At 35.4% G+C, this 19984-nt stretch overlaps 1 protein-coding gene and 2 pseudogenes across 6 annotated transcripts in view; 1 reads left to right on the top strand and 2 right to left on the bottom strand.

The window, feature by feature from the left end:
• The window catches only part of HSFY1 (heat shock transcription factor Y-linked 1), a 59321-nt gene that overhangs the window by 38245 nt on the left and 1092 nt on the right, over window positions 1-19984 (bottom strand). For 2 of the 6 annotated variants that reach the window (NR_003510.1, XR_007068453.1), the window contains exons 1-2: window positions 3419-4028; window positions 496-605 (exon numbers count right to left, since the gene is read on the bottom strand). Coding sequence is in view for 4 of the 6 variants with exons in the window: in NM_033108.3 (NP_149099.2) it covers window positions 2248-2940; window positions 3419-3931 (1206 nt within the window). In the remaining 2 variants the exon portion in view is untranslated. Of the gene's footprint in view, window positions 1-495; window positions 606-2126; window positions 2941-3418; window positions 4029-19984 lie in introns of those variants that run through there. The other 4 variants (NM_001425398.1, XM_017030085.3, NM_033108.3 and 1 more) reach the window with 4 other exon arrangements.
• Window positions 6578-7788, bottom strand: USP9YP1 (USP9Y pseudogene 1; annotated as a pseudogene).
• Window positions 18063-18393, top strand: ELOCP7 (elongin C pseudogene 7; annotated as a pseudogene).

Below are 19984 nucleotides of genomic sequence, written 5' to 3'. Positions count from 1 at the left end.
AAGCAGAAGATGAAAAAGAATTTTTAGAAGAAGCAGGGGAAAATCATAACTAGATGTAAAAAGAAAGCATGATAGTCAAAGGGATAAGCAGGGACGCTAGCCTCAGTAAGTCCAAAATATTGCATCTCTAGTGAAGGATACTGTGAGGTACGCTTTTATGATAAGTTGTGGTGAGGAACGAAGAATAACAAATAATGCCTCAATACCAAGAATATGTGTTTTTGACAACGAAAATAGAGTTTATGATTGTAAGTCCGCAGTCAACATCAACTAATTCACATACATGTGTGTGTGTGTGTGTGTGTGTGTGTGTGTGTATATACACACACACTCACATACATATATGTGTCAGATACTGTATTACATCAGTGCTGGTTGTCCAAGGCACACAGACAGACAAGAAAACTAATATGATAGATGAGAAGCACCTCCTAGAAGGAGTGATATCTGTGTTGTATGAGTCTTAAGTAGGCAAACAGGGAGAGAGCCTTTTACCTCCAAGTAGAAATGGGAGCCTTGTTACCAGATGGTAAAGGGCATGGCTGAAAGTGATGTTCTCCGAATGTTGCTCCAAATAGACTGTGGTGAAACACAAAGACATGAAGCTGAAAGGAAAACAAATATCAGGTCTGGAATGGATTTGTTCAGCCATGCTCATGATCTGGACTCAGAATCTAAAAGTTAATAAATCCTGACAAAAACAATTAAATCTGACTTTGTATGGAGCATGGAACCAACGTGTTGAAAATCTGCATTAGAGGTGGTCTTTGGTGGCTCAAGCTTGTAATCCCAGTGCTTTTGGGGACCATGGTGGGTGGATTACCTGAGGCCAGGAGTTCAAGACCATCCTGGCCAACATGGTGAAACCCCATTTGTACTAAAAGTACAAAAACTAGCCCAGCATCTTGGGCAAATATAATTTTACTTACTCAAAAGATGGAGGTACAAGAATTGCTTGAACCTAGAGGTTGAGGTATCAGTGAGCTCAAATAATGCCACTGCTCTCCAGCGGGGGTAACACAGAGAGACTGTCTCAGAGAAAAAAAAAAAAAAAAACAGAAGGAAATGTGCATTAGAAAACATGAAAAGTGGACTCTAACAGGAGGTAATTAAAGGCACAAACAGGTTGGAATGCTTTGATGTAGGATCAAAAAGGTGTACTGTTAATGCCAGCTGTAAAATTCCACAATGTTCTGACAGTGATGCAATCCATGAGCATAATATGATGTAAACTTTATTATTCAAGTGATGACACAAACAGTTGTGATCGTGGTCACTGAGTTCACTAGGGATGAATTGCAATGAAGACAATCTTTGCCAACTAAAATCCAAGTTTAAAATAACTGGGGAAATGTAATTGAGAAAATACTGAAGTGTATAGTATGTGTTAACTCTTCTCTAAATTTTGTCTGTGTGTGTGTGTTTGTCTGTGTGTATGTGTCCATTTATTCCCTTTGTGCCACTCAAATTTATACCCTCATTTGATTTATGCCAGACTACTTGAGAAGTCACTTATTATTTTTTCCTAACTCCGGTTGCTTCTTCTCCCTTGCCTGCTGTCATTGTTTGGTATGTCACCTCCAAATTTCACATTGAAATTCTGTGTCCATTGTGATAGTGTTGGGAGGTAGGACTTTTAAGAGTTGATTAGCCATGTGGGTGCAACCTCATGACTGACTTGATGGTATTATATGGAGAACAAGTTAGTTATTGTGTGAGTGGCCTTTGGATCAAAGGATGAGTTTGGCCCCGATTTTCTGTTCATCTCATGCCCTTCACCGTAGGAGGCCGACCTGCCATGTTGTAACGTAGAAAGAGGATCTCACCAGATGCAACCCCTTGGACTTCCCCACCTCCAGGAAAGTGAGCAAAATAAGTTTGCTTTACAAATTACCCAGGCAGTGGTATTGTGTTGTTTCAGCAGAAAATGGACCACAAAACTTTATTATTTCTTCCTCTTTAGAGAGATAAATTATTTAACTTACAAAGGCACATGTCAAATTTGCTTTCAAAGGATCAAAAAGCCCATATATATTTTTGCTAAAAAGTAGTACAATAGCCTCCCACTGAAACAAAATGTCATTTTTTTCTTAACCATACTTTTAGAAATAAAGGAAAAGCAAACATAGAAGTAAACATGCAATTTTATTGTTCAATAAGATAATTGCAGAAATTTTTAGGGTTTTTTGTCAATGTAAATGTTAGTCTCTGTTGTCATTCATAATCTGGTCCTCTTTTAATGGCAGATCAGTTGTAATTAGGGTGATATTTGTCCAGTGGTGATGGTTGAAGAGCTAGCCTGGAATGAGGGGCAGCTGATCTATCAGCGATCGTAGGCATTTGCAACCACGGGTTGCCTGCTGGTAGCATGTTACGATATGGAGCCTCATTGACTGATACCAGAGGATATCGTGTGGGAACAGCAGATGGTTCCACTGTCAGCCCAAAATAACCATTTTGTAAGGGAGATATGATGTGGTATTGAGAAGTTGTGGTTGTAATAAAATTCACAATGTGGCCCCTTGCTTGCATGTAGGTACTATGAGAGTGCATATGAATAGTGGTCAACTGATTTAAAATAGCATGTTGATCTGTTGCAATTTGTTCTGATGGTCCAACTGAGGTTGAAGGTGAAGGAGGAGGGAAACCACTTCTAATGGGGACAGATGAATTTGCAATTATCTGTCTGACAGAAGATTCCCTTGTTAGAGGCATATTTAAATTTTTAGAGGCTGAAAATAAACTTTCTTCACTAGCTTCAGCAGCTAAGGCAGAATTATGATTCTCCATGTTAGCCCCTGCTCTAAAATGCTTCTTGTTGAAATCTTCGTTGAATAAAGTAGATATAGGTGAAGCATTTTTAACACCAATTCTTCTCTTCACTCTTACTAAAAGTTGGGGATAGCCACGCTTGAAATTTGGATTATAATAGAACTTTAACTAAAACCAAAGAAAAACATAATTCAGTGCCATTTTAAGCCAAGAGACAAGTGAAAATAACAAACATAACACATCAAATATCAGATTTCTCTTTCATCACACAAATTTAATGTCATCAAATAACTCATAAACATCGTTTACTATTTTTAAGAATGTGCTTATTGTGAAAAACCACTCAAGTTGTTAAGCCCTCAAGTGAAAACATGTTATATATTAATAGTAATATTTCATTAAGTGGCTTTGGTACATTTATTTGGAATTCACTGGTAAGATTCAAAGTTGTTAGCAAAATTTCTTAAAACACTAAAAGGTTAACGCTCAAGCTGAACACAATAATTTCAAAACAAAATTTCTACCTTAATATTTTATATAATTTTCAAAAGCTGGTCTTACTGCATGTATTAACATATTTACTGATGTACAAAGTAAAATTACATATATACTTTACATAAAGTGGTAACTCAAATATGTCAAATACCTTGCTTAAGACAGACGATTCTTTCTCTTCTGACAGAAAGGTGGCTAGAAAGGCAGATCTTTGAAAATTCTGTTGAATTTTACTAAATCCATAAAGGTTGAGCTGTCGAACAAAACTTTTGATAGCATCAGTTTGAAATATTCTGTAAGGAGCCTTTGTTTCCAAAATTTCTTTCTTGAAGAGTTCTTCATTAATCACTATGCAAGTTCCATTCTCATCCCATGAAATAGACTTGAATTGGTCACTTTCCACTATTTTCCAAAGTTTCCTGGGAAAGTTCAGAGAAAGAAAATCATCATCTTTATCTGGCTCAGAGACACAAACTGTGTAACTTGGACTTTCTAACAAGGATCCTTGTGACAAAACCTGAAAAGCATGTTCTTCAATCATTGACCGTAAGTCTGAGTCCCCAGGGAAGGTGTGTTCACACAATGGAGACCTAGTGGAGGCTTCTGAAGCAGTTAATTCATCTTTGGGGGAAACATCTTGAGTTTCTGAAGAAACATGTGCCATCTCAAATAAATATTTCTTTATCTACTCTTCCGGCCTGCATGGTTTTCAGGACTGCAGCTTCAAATGCTGCTTCAGAAGGCCTAAGCATGTACACTTATCTAGACCATCACAATGGTTCCCAAACTGAGTAACAATGACATCACAAGGGGACTTTGGTCTCCTAGCAACCAACAAAATTCTAGCCCAAAGGGTTTCCTTCCCAATCTGAGAAATGTATCCAGTGAAAATAAAATATAGACTGCTCACTTACACAATGTAAGCTGCAAAAATCTCTTGCCTGCATCATTATTTAAATAAATAAGGAAATAATGTCCTCAATCCCTGAAATAAATCCAATGTTCTTCCTGACACACTCATTATAACTAGATTGGTGTGAGGAGCACAAGGCCTAGTAATTGCAAAATGCAAAAAAATAAAATAAAATAAAGGAAAGAAAAAGAAATATGAATGATTTTAAAACTAGTTTGGCATGTTGGATTGAAAACTGATGCAATGCTAAACCTGTGTGGTAAAAAGACATGGCCATAGAGATAAAAGGTAGGTTACGGGTTGTCAGGGGCTGGACAATAAAAAGAACTGTATAATAGATATGGAGTTTCTGGTTGGGCAATAGAAATATTTAGGAACTATTGATAGATGATGATCGTATGACATTATAAACATATTTAATTCCATTCAATTATACACTCAAATGTAATTTTATGTTATTTGAAACTTACCTTCAAAAGTTAAGGTGAAGACAAAGATGAATAAAACTAACTGATTATATTTCAGAATGAAACGTTATATTTATGCATATCTCTTCAAAACATGTTTCAGTCATATCAGAAGAATATATAATGATTTAATTTGGTATGTCTCTAAATATCTGACAAATGTTAAAGATGAAAGAGATTTTAAAAGCGGGTGACTTACTTGTAAGGGGATCCCAAAGAGTGGGAGATTAAAAAAATAATAAAAATAAAAATATTGAGAAAATGTTTTAAGAAAAGTAAATATGTATGTGTGTCTAAGCAGCATATTTTTTTTTAATTTGGCTCCAAGAACCAAATCTCTATTAAAGAATAGATTTTGTAAGGAATAATCTTTGTGCCATGCAAATAATGGTATCATTATAAAACAGGACTTGAATTTGTGAAATAATTTTAGTATTGAGTAAAATAACCATGGATCATTTACAGTCAGAATTTTTATATGTTCATGGTTGACAGTTGGTATATTAAAATTCGAACTCCTTAGCATTGGTAAGTGTTGAATATGTGTGGAAGAAAGAAATATAGTATTGATATTTCTCATACTGTAGGAGGCAGTTCTCTCATACTGGAAAGAGGAGTCATTGTTAGAAAATTGCCTTGGTTTAATATAGTTTAGGTTTTGTTTTTTTGTGTGTGTGCCTGTTTAATTCAGAATTTTCTGTATTAACATTATGTAACAAAAATGTTCAAATCAGTAAACTCTGTGAAGATGAAACAGGTGCCCCTACCAGATGCATGTGGTTTCTCAATTTTGACAGTTTTTTAAAATTAAAAAAGTGCAAAATTAAAATTTTTTTTTTTTTTGTTCTTCTCAGGAATTTTCATGTTGCTCTAGCTGAAGGGAGTACAGACTTCTTTTGTGATGCGAGAGGATGAATGATTACTGAGAGCAGCAAAAGATAGGACATGGGTGTGGAGGAAAGAGGGAGTTAATAGGAGAATCAGAAGACAAAATCACATTAAATGTAGGATAATCTAAGACAAATTGTGGCTGAGCATTTTGGGGAGCTAAGATAGGTGACAGTTTAGGGAGGAAGAATGCCTTGGTGTGTTCAGGGGGAGATGGCTCAGCTAAAGGTGTCCCCTGACTCCAAACTGGAAGCCTACTTTTAGTCATAAAAAAGCAAGAAAATAAGAAATTTTATATGAAAAACATAAATGTTCAGTAGGCTGTATCCACTTAGCTATAAAAAAGAATAAGATGTCTGTCTGATCTTCTTAGTGACAGCCTGTGCTACCCATGTTCTTGCCGCTTCAGCCTCCCAATTAGCTGGTTCTGCAGGAAACGCCTAGTAGGCTCAGATAATTATTCAATTTAATGAATTATTTTAATTTTTTTAGAGACAGAATCTTGCTATGTTGTTCAGGCTGGCCCGAAATTATAGGCTTGAAGTGATCCACCCACCTTGGACTTACAAATTGCTAAGGTCACCAGTGTGAGCCACGATATCTTCCTATTTCTTAAAAAGCTTTTGTGGAGATAGTGTTTCACATTTTGCCAAACCAGGTTCAAAATTCCTGGCCTCAAGCATTCTTTTTGCCTTGGCCTTCCAAATTATTGGAATTACAAATGTGAGGCAAAAAATGTCATCTAAAATATGTTGTATCTTTTTAATTGTCACTTAATATTTTATCTAGTAAAGGTAAAACTTCATACTTAATGATAAAGTGGAAAAAGGTGTAATATAAATGTATTGGAGTAGAAGCCAATTTTTACATAATAAACACACATTTAGATTAGACAATTTTAAATGTACTAAGAATTCTCTCACAATTACTGAAAAAAAGTTTATGCATATTTAAAATCTGAAATAATATTTTTATGGTTAGGAAAATGTAAAGCAGGATAATAGACAACCAAACCAATTATAAGTTCCCTGTGAATAAAATCCAAAGCCAAATACCAGTCACTGGCAGGACCACAAGCTATTTTTTTAATGTAAAATCCAGTGGTAATGAGGAATATAGGTGCAAACTGTATGCTAATGATAGTCATTTAATTTGATGCAGGCAGAAAAATAATTCTGCTCTAAATAAAAAGTATATATACAGTCAAAAACATTTGTATTTTCAAGCTCTTTCTTAATAAAATTTTTGCTAGGTAAGACCAATTTTCAGTGATTATCCTGCCGCTTCACTAACCCGCATTTCAAGCTCATGCTTCAGTAAAAAATAATAATTTGTGTAATAAATAAAAGTGCTTCATATTTCCATACATAAAGTCCACTATTTTAAGGTACAGACATCTTAATTTTTTCTTACTTTGAAATAACTAAAATAGAAAGGCTACACATTCACATAAATTAAGGCTAATGATGCCATGAAAAAAGCTAAAAGAAGACTGAAGAAAAGTATTAAACACATGTTGATGCCTTGTAAAGAATCATACAAGCCAAGCATACATTATTTTTATTACTAAGAAGGTAATCAAAAAGCTTATCATGAACAGGACTTCAATAAACACCAATATATATAAGCAGTTCTTTCACAAACTGCAAATGCTCTCAACTTTATTGCTTTCACTTTTGCGTAAGTGTCACATTTTGTTAGTATACACTTTTCTCAAAGGCTGGTGACATAATAATGTGATGAGGTCTCACAAGAGTTAGCCATAATATATATCTTATCATCTCATCATCTTCATCTATCATGTCCATTTGTTTATTGTTTGAAAATTATATAAGCAATTTACCAGCTCTTTTACCGTCTATGTGACATGCACTTCAGCGTATGATCAAATATATTTATGTACTCTCCATCCAAACACTGATTTTTAAAATTTCTTGATCATCATCCATTTTAAATTCTGCTAAATCTTCATCATCAAATTTATACCAGGAATCGCAGTCATCATCCTACCATTGTTTGAATAATATAAGAATAATAATACCCACTGCTTGCTAGACCACTGTGTACAGGCACATCTGCAAGTCTGTATTTTGTGATCTTTGTAGTTTTATTTTCAGGTTACTCTTTCTGTTGAATCAACTGATTTTCTGACTTGAAATTATTCTGTTCCAGCTTTGCAATGCATGCTGCTGTGTAAGGTCCCATATCCAGCTCCCAAGGAAATTCAAAATAATCACCGAATGTAATTGCACATTATTTTAGTCGTACTCAAATCATTTGTGTTGGCCACAGAAACAAAAGAAAATTATTTAAATAGCAAGTGCTTAACTGTGTTAACATACCATAAACAGAGAACAGGTACAAATGTTCTCATTTCCTGAACAAACATTAAAACAATTTAATGATAATTTTAAAGTTTATAATCTTTTAAATTTATTTTAAAAAGAAAAGTAAATAATCATTAACATCATTAGGGTAATTATGCCATAACTAACTTAAGCAATACTTTCTTACCAAAGCTTAAAATATTTATATATAGCAATCCTTTGGTATCTGTAGGGGATTGGCTCCAGAACCCTCTTAAATACTATAATTTGTGTCTGCTCAAGCTTCTGATTTACAATGGTGTAGTATGTAAATATAATGCACCCACATCCTCCTGTGTAGTTTACTTTAACTTTGCATAAATCATTAGTAAAATGTAAATGTTATGTAGACAGTTATAATCTAATGGCTTTTAAATTTGTTACATTTTACTGTAGTATTGTTTTTGTTTTCAAACATTTTAATATATGTTTAGAGAAATCTATGTTTGAAGAACGTGTGTATGTAAAAAGTCTCTTATTTGTTGCACACCAGAAAACATTACTGACACAGACACTGATGGCTATGTGGTTCCATATAGCCACTACTATCTGTGTTACTTCTCTAATGTTTTCTTGTATGCGATTAAGCAGAATTTGGTGTGAATAAACTAAAGATATATAGTAAGCAATAATAATAGCAGCTAATACTTATAGTGCTTAAAGACAAGGTAATACATTAAAAAGCCGCACACATATTAATAAATTTAATCCTCACTGTCCATTTTGTGTGACAGAGTTTCACTCTCTTCACCTAGGCTATATTGCAATGGCAGAATCTCGCCTCCCTGCAACCTACACCTCCCAGATCCAACCTACACCTCCCAGATTCAAGCGATTCACCTGTCTCAGCCTCTCCAGTAGCTAGTATTACAGGCATCTGCCACCATACCTGGCTAATTTTCATATTTATAGTAGAGATGGGGCTTCACCCTGTTGGCAAGGCTGTTCTGTCTGTCTTATAAAAAGGTAAAACCTATATATAATTAATTTAAAAGGTGTGGATTGAGTGGCAGGTAGGGTGAAAAGCAATTGTTTCAAGTCTCAGAGGTGTAAATAGCAAGCAGTATGATGTTAAAAATAAACCACAATTTAAATGGCAGGTAAGTGCGAAATAATGCAGGCAGCTTGGAGGTCAGATGTTATGAAGGTCAAGAAAGACATACATGTTATTTAACATATAATATCTTCAAATATATTTTACCATTACATCTCCCAATCAAATTGCAGAGAAATAAAATTAGCTGGTTAGGCCTAAAGAAAGAAATCTGTTTGTGAAACAAGTGGTTGTTAAAATTTGTTGTAACCCCATAAAATTAAGGAAGTTTTTCGCTTTTAGACTTATAAGTTTTTGCTTATAGTATAGATGTATCTATACTAGAAAGAGAAAAATGCTTTCTTCTGTCAACTCTTCAAGATTCAATCATTAAATTGCAATTTATTTTAGAGTAGGGATGAAAGCAATCTGGGAGATTATTTTACATCCAAAATTATTAACCTAGTAAGAATCACTTTTTTTCCCTAGTCAGTCACTCTATTTTGTCAATAGCATTTCCCTTTAAACAAGTTATCATCTTGACTACCTCTCTGATACCACTAAAAGAGTAAAGAGAAAGCAGAAGTTAATTTTTTGCATGAGCACAAACACTTCTAATGTCTTCTGGTTGTGTTCAAAGAGATAATTTTTTTTTTCAAAGCTGAAAAAAACGTACTTTTTATCACATTTTACAATGATGTGCATTTGCACCTTCCATTTGATATCCTATTCCCAAGAATCAAGAACATTTTGATGACTGTTAATGTCCCCATTTAAAGTTGTAAAAGATTTCTCACGTTTGTATCAAAAGATAGTATTTAAAATACAAATTATAAAATATATTCTTTACTTCTTTTTCCTGTGAGGACAGGTTATTTCCTTGTCACTGAAGCTAAAATGCACGGCACAATTCCAGTTCACTATGGTCTCAAACTCTTTGGCTTCAGTTGGGGTTTCCTCAACCAGTATTCATCTGTGTCTTCTTAGGAACTGGGCTACACATCAGCAGGTGAGCGGTGAACAAGTACGGAAGCTTTATCTCTATTTAAACCACTATGTATGGTGCATATTACTGCCTGAGATCCACTTTCTGTAAGTTCAGTGGCAGCATCAGATTTTTATAGAAGTGAGAGCACAACTATTAACTGCACATGCAGGAAATTTAGCTTTTGCACTCTTTATAACAATCAAAAAACTGATCACCCGTAACTGTCTCCCATCACCCACAGAGAAAACAATCTAGCTGCAGGAAAATAAGTTCAGGGCTCCCACTGATTCTACATTATGGTGAATTGTATAATTATTTCATTAAATATTATAATGTAATAATAACAGTAATAAAGCAAAAAAACAATGCGGGGCACTTGAATCTTTCCAAAACTGTCTCCACAACGCCAGGTCATGAAAAATCTTGTCTTCACAAAACCCATCCCTGGTGCCAAACTGTTGCAAATAATCACACGTAGATGTACGCACACATAAATTTTTGAGTGAAAGTTTTGAAGACAGAAGCTCAAAGTATTATTATAAGTTCAAAGAACAAGAACAGAAACATTGACTAGATTGCAGAAAAAGGAGTGTTTTGAATAGAGAAAACTAATGAAAATAACTTGTTACCCAGTAATGTGATGGCTGGGTCAAATGGTATTTCTAGTTCTAGATCCCTGAGGAATCGCCACACTGACTTCCACAATGGTTGAACTAGTTTACAGTCCCACCAACAGTGTAAAAGTGTCCCTATTTCTCCACATCCTCTCCAGCACCTGTTGTTTCCTGACTTTTTAATGATTGCCATTCTAACTGGTGTGAGATGGTATCTCGTTGTGGTTTTGATTTGCATTTCTTTGATGGCCAGTGATGATGAGCATTTTTTCATGTGTCTTTTGGCTGCATAAATGTCTAAGTCATGCTGCTATAAAGACACATGCACACGTATGTTTATTGCGGCACTATTCACAATAGCAAAGACTTGGAACCAACCCTAATGTCCAACAATGATAGACTGGATTAAGAAAATGTGGCACATATACACCATGGAATACTATGCAGCCATAAAATATGATGAGTTCATGTCCTTCGTAGGGACATGGATGAAATTGGAAATCATCATTCTCAGTAAACTATCGCAAGGACAAAAAACCAAACACCGCATGTTCTCACTCACAGATGGGAATTGAACAATGTGGGAATGCATGGACACAGGAAGGGGAATATCACACTCTGGGGACTGTTGTGGGGTGGGGGGAGGGGGGGAGGGGGGGAGGGATAGCATTAGGAGATATACCTAATGCTAAATGACGAGTTAATGGGTGCAGCACACAAGCATGGCACATGTATACATATGTAACTAACCTGAACATTGTGCACATGTACCCTAAAACTTAAAGTATAATAATAATAAAAAAAAGAAGAGAGATGAAATAAATTCTCAAAGAAGGATTGCAAAAAAAAAAAAAGAAAGAAAATAAATTGTTGACACAAGAAAAAACAAGAGTGAGGGATATGTGAGGATAAAGAACTGAAATATGTAAATTAGAATTATATATGCAAATCATACTCATAACGTAGGCTTACAGTTTAGCTATGAAATTTAGAAACTTATACTGAAAGTTATAATGGGAAGTCAGTGCATTACTGGTGCACTAATGACTTTTAAAAGAAATCTAAGTGATATTCTAGTACATAGAAGTGGAACTGCTGTGAGTGAAACAGAAGGCAGCCCAGAAATCAGAAGATCCCTTTTTCTTCCTGTCTCTGAGCTATCTAAGAACTACCTTCTTGAAAGAACAGTAAACTCTTATGAAGGGGTGCAGCTTCTTCTATAAACTAGAAAGAGCTATGTACTACATCATATAATAAAAAGTTGTGCAACAGTGTTTTATTACCATACATGCCACAAATGTGGCCTTGATAAAATGAGTGAAACAAAGGAAAAAAAAATTAAGATGTTATTAAGCCATTTTTTTCTCTGTGTGTGTGTGTGTGTGTGTGTGGTTGTGTGTGTAAGTTTTGTGTGTGTGTGTGTGGCATGTGTTCTCTTCATTACTCAGTCTGCAGAGTAGCAAAACAATTACAGCTCAGGGGATGTTTTCACCTCAGTGTCAAAGGTAGATGAGATTACTTGTGCAGACCATAACATTCAGCCATTCTACTGCATCTTAGTAATGATGGGATATCAGCATGTACCTCAGGCTTTTTTTTTTAACTCCTGAGATCAAGTAATCTACCTGCCTTGGCTTCCCAAAGTGCTAAGGCTATCAGTGTGCATGACTAAGCCTGGCCCAATTGAACATTTTCAAATCTAAAAACGGACCAAGTGTTATTGGTCACTTTTGTAAAAGGCTCAAAAATTATGATTACATTCAGGCTTGCAAAACATATATGTATATTATATAGAGTTATATATTATGTATTTACATATAAGTATATCATATAAATATATTTTCTTGCAGGACTAGGAAGCAGTACTTTTTTGTCAGTGACTAAAATATTCATTTGATAATAAAAATGTTTATTTGATGATGAAAATGTTGACTTTTGAGGTGACTATTATACAAAATCTCAAAGATAAATGTTGCTCTACAAACTAAAAGACATCATTGATGAACTACTCTAACTTGAACAATGTAATGAAGAAAGTGTAAACAAATATCAAAAGTTAACAAATGAAATGGTATTTTATCTTTCCAAGTAGCTGATACTACAAGGCTGATATCACGACACTTGAATAATTTTTGTATTTTTTTGTAAGGACAGGGTTCTGCCCCTTTTCCCAAGCTTGTAAACTAATTTGTATTATGTGTGATAACAGTGCCCTGGTCATATTTTTAAAAAATATTTAGAGTTGCCTTAAAATATCCATAGAGATAAAAATATGTACTTGACAATTGCTTCATCTGAGAACTTTTAAATCAAAGAGATGACTTCATTTTTATATTTTGATTATATAGATTATAAATTGTCTTATATTAAGAAGTTAATGACACCTTAAGAGATCAATAATATAGTGCCTGTCTCTGCTGTGACAATTTTAACCTTTTCCTATTAGGATAATAATAATAAAAATGACCGAGAAAGACAGCTAAAATATTACTATTGTTTAAATATTGCCCATCAAATAAATTATGTATTTTAAAGATATATTTTAAAAATTTAATGTACATATGATTTCATCAAAATTAAACTGATAAATCACCCATAATTTACCTGAACCTCTTCTATCCTTTTTTGTTTTATCCCTGTAACCGAGAATGTGGTAAGTGTGGGTTTGTGTGTTTCGGCGCTGTTTCTGTTAGCAATCTTTCGGGTTCACCATTAAGTGGGTCCTGAGTTCTTGACACATATCCAGGCACAATGAGGTATGTGAACAACAGGAGAATAATCAAGGTAAATAGATGCTTCATTGAGTGAAAGTACAGCTCTCAGGAGACAGAAAGCAGGTAACTCCATTTCAAAAACAGGACATACCTGCATCTGTGCAACACTCACTGAAGACAGAACCAATAGTGACCAGCTTCAGTGGAAAAGTAGGTTGTTAAAACATCTCTGAAGTCCTCAGTGGAGAGAAGTTTCAGAGTGGGTAGCTTCTATCTGCAGGAATGTTGTTGAAATGCATCTGCAGCTTTAAGTTTGGAGGAGACCTATCTATTTGCAGCCATGCAATCCCAATAAGTGTACACCTCACAGCGGAGAGGTGGCACACACTTGGTAAATCTACGTTAAGTCAGGTTGAGGTTGAAAGTTCGAGACCAGCCTGACCAACATGGAGAAACCCTGTCTCTAATAAATATACAAAATTAGACAGATGTGATGGTGCATGCCTTTAGTCCCAGCTACTCAGCAGCTGAGGCAAGACAATCGCTTGAACCTGGGAGGCAGAGGTTGCAGTGAGCCGAGGTCACACCATAGTACTCCAGCCACGGCAACAAGAGCGAAACTCCATCTCCAAAAAAAACAAAATAAAAATAAATCAATACAAGTAAAAATAAATAAATACAAATATAAATAAATACATATGTAATTAAATAAATAACCTAAATAAGTATGGAATATATATGGACCTCAGAATGCACATGGGCAGAGAGAATGGGCTGGTTGGTCCATGGGTGGAGATGGCTGAAAAAGAAAAAGATGTGTAAACCTAAAAATGACCCCTAATACTAATGCTGAAACACTAACAATAACCCTCAAGCCCTAATCCTAATCCTCACATAAACCCAACCTGCACCATTAACAAAACATATCCCTAACCCTAAATGTAACTCTACCCCTACTTATAACCCTAAACATACACCTACCACTAAACCTAAACCTACTAAAACCCTGAATCTACCCTAAACCATAACACTCACCAAAACCCTAACCTAAATACTAAACCAAACCCTAAATCGAACACTAACTGTAAACTCTGAACACTAATCCCAACTCTAACTCTAACCCCAAAAGCTACCTTCAAAACTAACCCTAAAAGCAACCTTAATTGTAACCATAAAACTAAAACTCTAACCTTAAAAATGTAAGTCCAACATCTAACCAATATCCCTAATCCAAACTTCTACCCCCTAACCCTAATTCTAACAATTCATTGACCATAACCCTATCCTTAAAACACTGACACTAACACTAACCCTAACTCTAACCCACAACATCAAACGCAACCCCAACCATAACCCTAACTTTAACCCCAATGCCAAAAACAACCCAGACCTTAAGCCATAACACTAAACCCAATTCCAACCCATAACCCTAAACATGACACTGACACTGATGCAAAAGTAGTGCTGAGCCGACCTTAACCAAAACAAAAAAAAACTCAAACCCTAACACAAAAAACCCTAACTCTAATGCTAAACTATAACCCTACCACTACCATTACCTCACCCAAACCCTAACTGAAAAACTAGCCCTATAATTCTAAGCCTAGCACTATAAAACTAACCAAAACACCAAACTTAACCCAAACACAGATACACAAACCTAAACCCTAGTAATAAACCATAATCCCAAACATAACCTACACCAACGCTACACCAACCCTAACTACAAACCTAATCCTTAACCATAACCCTAATGGAAACCCAATTCCTAACCCCAAACCTAAAACCTTAACTGTAACCCTAAACCATCTGCAATGCCAGCCATAACTCTAAACACTGAAACCAAACACTAACACTCACCCAACCAAAACCCTAATCTTAAATACTAACATGTAACCCTAATCCTTAACGCAAGCCTAATGCTAAACCTAACCCTAAGCTCTAATTCTGACCTTGACCCTAAATGCAAACACACCACCAACTGCAAACAAACACAACCACTAATTCCAAAATCCTAAAGCTGACAACAACCCTAAAGACTAATCCATAACAATAAAACCTAACCTAAACTCTAACATGTAATGCTGAACCCAGATGCTGACCTTAACGCTAATTAAAGCCTAAAACTAAGCTTCACCCTAACCACTAAGTTTAACATTAAACCTATGCCATAACCCTAACCCATTAACCCTAAACCTAATCGCTAACCATAGCCTTATCCTGTAACACTAACACTAACCCTAACCCTATGCATACTCCAACCGCAACTCAACCCAAAACCTAACACTATCCCTAACCAAAGCCATCAGCTTAAAAAATAAACCTAACCATAATCTTAACATAAACATCACCATAATCCTGAAACTAAAAGTAGGAATCAATGCTAACACAAAACCTAACATTAAACCTAAGCATACACACTAAACCCTCAACCTAGCCCTCACAATTAACACTAACCCTAAGCTAAAACCTCTACCAGTAAACCTAAACCTAAAGTTAACCCAAAATATTACACCCACCCCTATTTTCACAACTAATCATAACCATAACACAAACACTAAGATGTAAACCTAATCCTAAACCTAAAGTTAACCCAAAATATTACACCCACCCCTATTTTCACAACTAATCATAACCATAACACAAACACTAAAATGTAAACCTAATCCTAGACCTAAATGTAACCCCTAACACTAACCTTAACTCCCAAAAGCCCTAACACTAATCCTAACCCAAATAACCTAGAACACTAACCCTAGCCATACCCTAAACCCTGATATTAAACCTAATACTAAACATTGATTTTAGCCTAATCATAAACCCTAACCCAAACACGTAACCCAAACAGTAATCTGACCCTAGCTTTAACACTAAAATCTAAATCCAAACTATGATCCTATACAATAAATCCAGTCCCAACATTAACCTTAAGCTCTAACCCTTAACCTAACCCAACCCTAAACCTAACCCTAACCCCTTATCCTAGAGTTCTAAACTCTAACACTATGCCAAACCCTAACCCCTTATCCTAACCCTCAACCAACCCTAAACCTAAACCTAAGTGCTAAACAATAACCCTAAAACTAACACTGAACCCTAAACACTAACCCTAATGCTAACCTGAAACCCTAACCAGGACCTGAACTCTAAACCCTAAACCAAATCCTTATTCTTATCCTAACACCAACAGTAAACCCAAACCCTAACGCTAATACACTAACCCTCTTACCCTAACCCTTACTGTCGCCTTAGTTCTCACCCTTAGCACTAACCATAACCCTCACCATGGAGTTAACCCAGAACCTAACCCTCCACTAACCCCAACATCTAACTGTAAGCCTATCTCTTACCCTAAGCCTAAGCATAACCTGACCCAAACCTAACTTCTAATCCTGATTCTAACTCTAGCCCTAAACGTTACCTTAACCTCGACAACGGTCCCAAATTCTAATCCTAACCATAACCCTAATCCTACCACCACACGAACCTTTAAGTCAACCCCAGACCTAACCCTCAATCTAACCTTTTTTCTGCAATTGTAAACCCCTATTCCTAATCCCAAACTTCTCTCCCATCCTTAGTATTACCATATCACCCTTCAAAATAATTTTAAATATATAACCTTTGACTCTATCCTCTAACCCCTAATGCCCTTAAGAGTACACTAAACCTTACCTCTCATTAATTCCAATTGAAAATTGAATTAAACAGATGATATCACTAGGACAAAACACTAAATGTTAAGAAATATGACAATTAAAGTCATTATAATGTTTAACCAAAAACTAGTACCTGAAATTTGCTACATGGGGAAGACATTATGCACCTCAATGATTAAGATTTTTCTGTTTGTTTGTTTGTTTGTTTGTTTGTTTTGAAAATTGAGGGTTTTTCAACATTCTGAAGCCATCCCTTTTCAATATACCATGTAAACTAAATCATGGGAAAACAGTACATGTTTATCTCAACTGTTATGGAAAATACTTAAAGTTAGTCAACGTGTTTAATGATAACAACATCCAATAAACTGTGCTTCAAATTTCTTTCACATAACACGTCTTTGTGCAAAACCTGTAACAATCAGCATCTGAATTGTTGGGAATCAAAGTTTAAGATGAGGAACAAAGCATTGATGCTAAATTTCATCACTGTATTCTACACTGTACTAGAATTTCCATCCAAAACAATTGGAAATATATATATATATATGATATATGTAGTATATGTGCATATAAATATTTATATATACACATATATACATATACAAATATTTATATGCACATATATTATTATATATATTTTTACATATAGATATTTATATATAAATATATATGTGAATATATATTTTTCCAATTGTTTTGGATGGATATTCTAGCAAAATATGTATATATTTCCAATTGTTTTGGCCATTCATATGTGGAAAAATAAAAATAAAAAAAGTAAAACTATCTACCCTTGGGTCTTATGATCTCCTATAAAGAAATCATAAGAAACCAACAAGAAATCATGACATCTGGTAAACAAACTAAACAAACATACATTATAAAATATCAATATAATAAAATCTACTTCTGTACACTAGTAATAAACCATATGAAAATGAAATTAATACAACAATTTTATTTGTGAAAACAACAAGCAGCCTGTCTTCCAACTTCCCTGGAACCCATAGGAGCCACAAGCTGGGTGTGGGGGATAGCCCTGGAGTCGAGTCAGTGCTGCTACACTGGGAGCTGGGCTGCACTGGCCATAGGGCTAACCAGAAAGTAGTCAAGTTCCTGGGGAATCAAAGTAGAATTATGTAAGTACGTGGTGGATGAAGAGTAGAAAACCTACAGTGGTTTTGAAAGCCCTAAAGCCACGATGTCAAATGGATATCTTCAGAGTCAAAAATTTATGGTAAAAGGCGAACATGCACGAACATCAACAACAATGAAAGCCATGTTGAGTGGCCCAGGTCATTTTGCTGAGAAGGAAAGTATTGAGGTCAATTTGAGAGACATCCCTTCACAAGTGCTGCCAAAAGCATGCACATATTTTACCTAAATATTTCACTACACCTAAAGCTCCACAGAGATTTCCAAATTCCCATTTCACCTGAAACTGCATTAGAACTGTTGATGGCTGTAACTTTCTAGATTGTATATAAATACAATTAATTGATAGGATAAAATAAAATATAATAAACTTAATTTTTTTCAGTGTTTAACTAACTGTAGTTCAGTTAACATTTATTTTTTATAGATAGTACATTCCCTGTATCAAGGTAACTATAAAATTAATTGCAAAGAAGATTCTCTTCTGTTTTTTGCATAACATAATTGAATTTTTTTTGTACTGTGAACAAACTAAGGACATTTTCACAGAGAAATAAACAAATATGCCAGTTCATAAGTGGTTTTGCCTTATGCCTTGAGTATGATTTTAAAATGAGTAATGTTGACATTGAAAATGATGAAAATTGGCTGGGCATGGTGGCTCATGCCTGTAATCCCAGCACTTTGGGAGGCTGAGGCGGGGGGATCACGAGGTCAAGAGATGGAGTCCATCCTGGCCAACATGGTGAAACCCCGTCTCTACTAAAAATACAAAAAGTAGCCGGCCGTAGTCCCAGCTACTCAGGAGGCTGAGGCCGGAGAGTGGCGTGAACCCGGGAGGCGGAGCCTGCAGTGAGCCAAGATTACGCCACTGCACTCCAGCCTGGGTGACAGAGCAAGACTCCGTCTCAAAAAAAAAAAAGGAAAGAAAATGATGAAAATTAGGCATAAATTAATAATTGCATTATATGCATCTTCATAACTTAGCCAAAATATTGATTTTTATCTAACCCTAACATAAATGTCTTATCAATGCCTATAATCTCAGCACTTTTGGAGGCCAATGCAGGCAAATCTTGTGATTCCAGGTGTTTGAGACATGCCCAGGCAACATGGCAAACCTTTGTCTCTGCTAAAAATACAAAAAGTTAGCCAGACATGGTGACTGAGGCTAAGACAGAGGATTAATTGAGCTAGGCAGTTAGAAGCTGCAGTGAGCCATGACGGCACTTCTGCACTCCAGGCTGGGCCACACAGTGAGACCCTGTCTCAAAAAGAAAAAAAAACAGTAGAAATTTCTTCTGTCATTTGATAAATCCCAGCATTGTTTAAAAGTGTCTTTTCATTTTGTTTATTTCTACAATTTAAGACACTTTTTCATAACAATTTTTGAAGGTTACTAGGTACAATTTTGGAAGAAGCAACAGAACTATACCCAGATGGTCAATGAGTCAACTATATGACTTATAAGCAAAGCATCCTTGGCAACTGTAGAAACAGAAAGAAAAAAATAATCTGGCAAGGTGTCGTGGCTTAGGTTTTTTAATGTTCTATTTTTTTTTTTTTTTTTTTGATGAAAGAAATCCCTTTTAGGTCTTAGACTAATTATAATTTATAACAATTTAGAAGGTTATACTTTTGTAAACAGAAGTGAAACACTTGTAAAAAAAAAAAATAACTCTTCTGCCCCTCCTCCCCCGCCCCCACCACAGGCATCAGAATAGAGCCCTCCTTTTGACCAGGGGCATTCCTAAATTGGTTCAGGTCCTGACAGGAAAGAGGGACCGACATGCTTCATTACACGCTCCTCCCTTTTGAACTTTAGAAAAAGTTGACCATCATTAACAGCGACCTATACCTTAAGTCTAATAAGAAATATTTACCTCTTATTCTCTCAAGCATGCTACATGGAGGATT

The sequence above is a fragment of the Homo sapiens genome, chromosome Y, assembly GCF_000001405.40.
Source record: "Homo sapiens chromosome Y, GRCh38.p14 Primary Assembly".
NCBI classification, from domain to species: Eukaryota; Metazoa; Chordata; class Mammalia; order Primates; family Hominidae; genus Homo; species Homo sapiens.
This window is presented reverse-complemented; position numbering and strand designations above follow the sequence as displayed.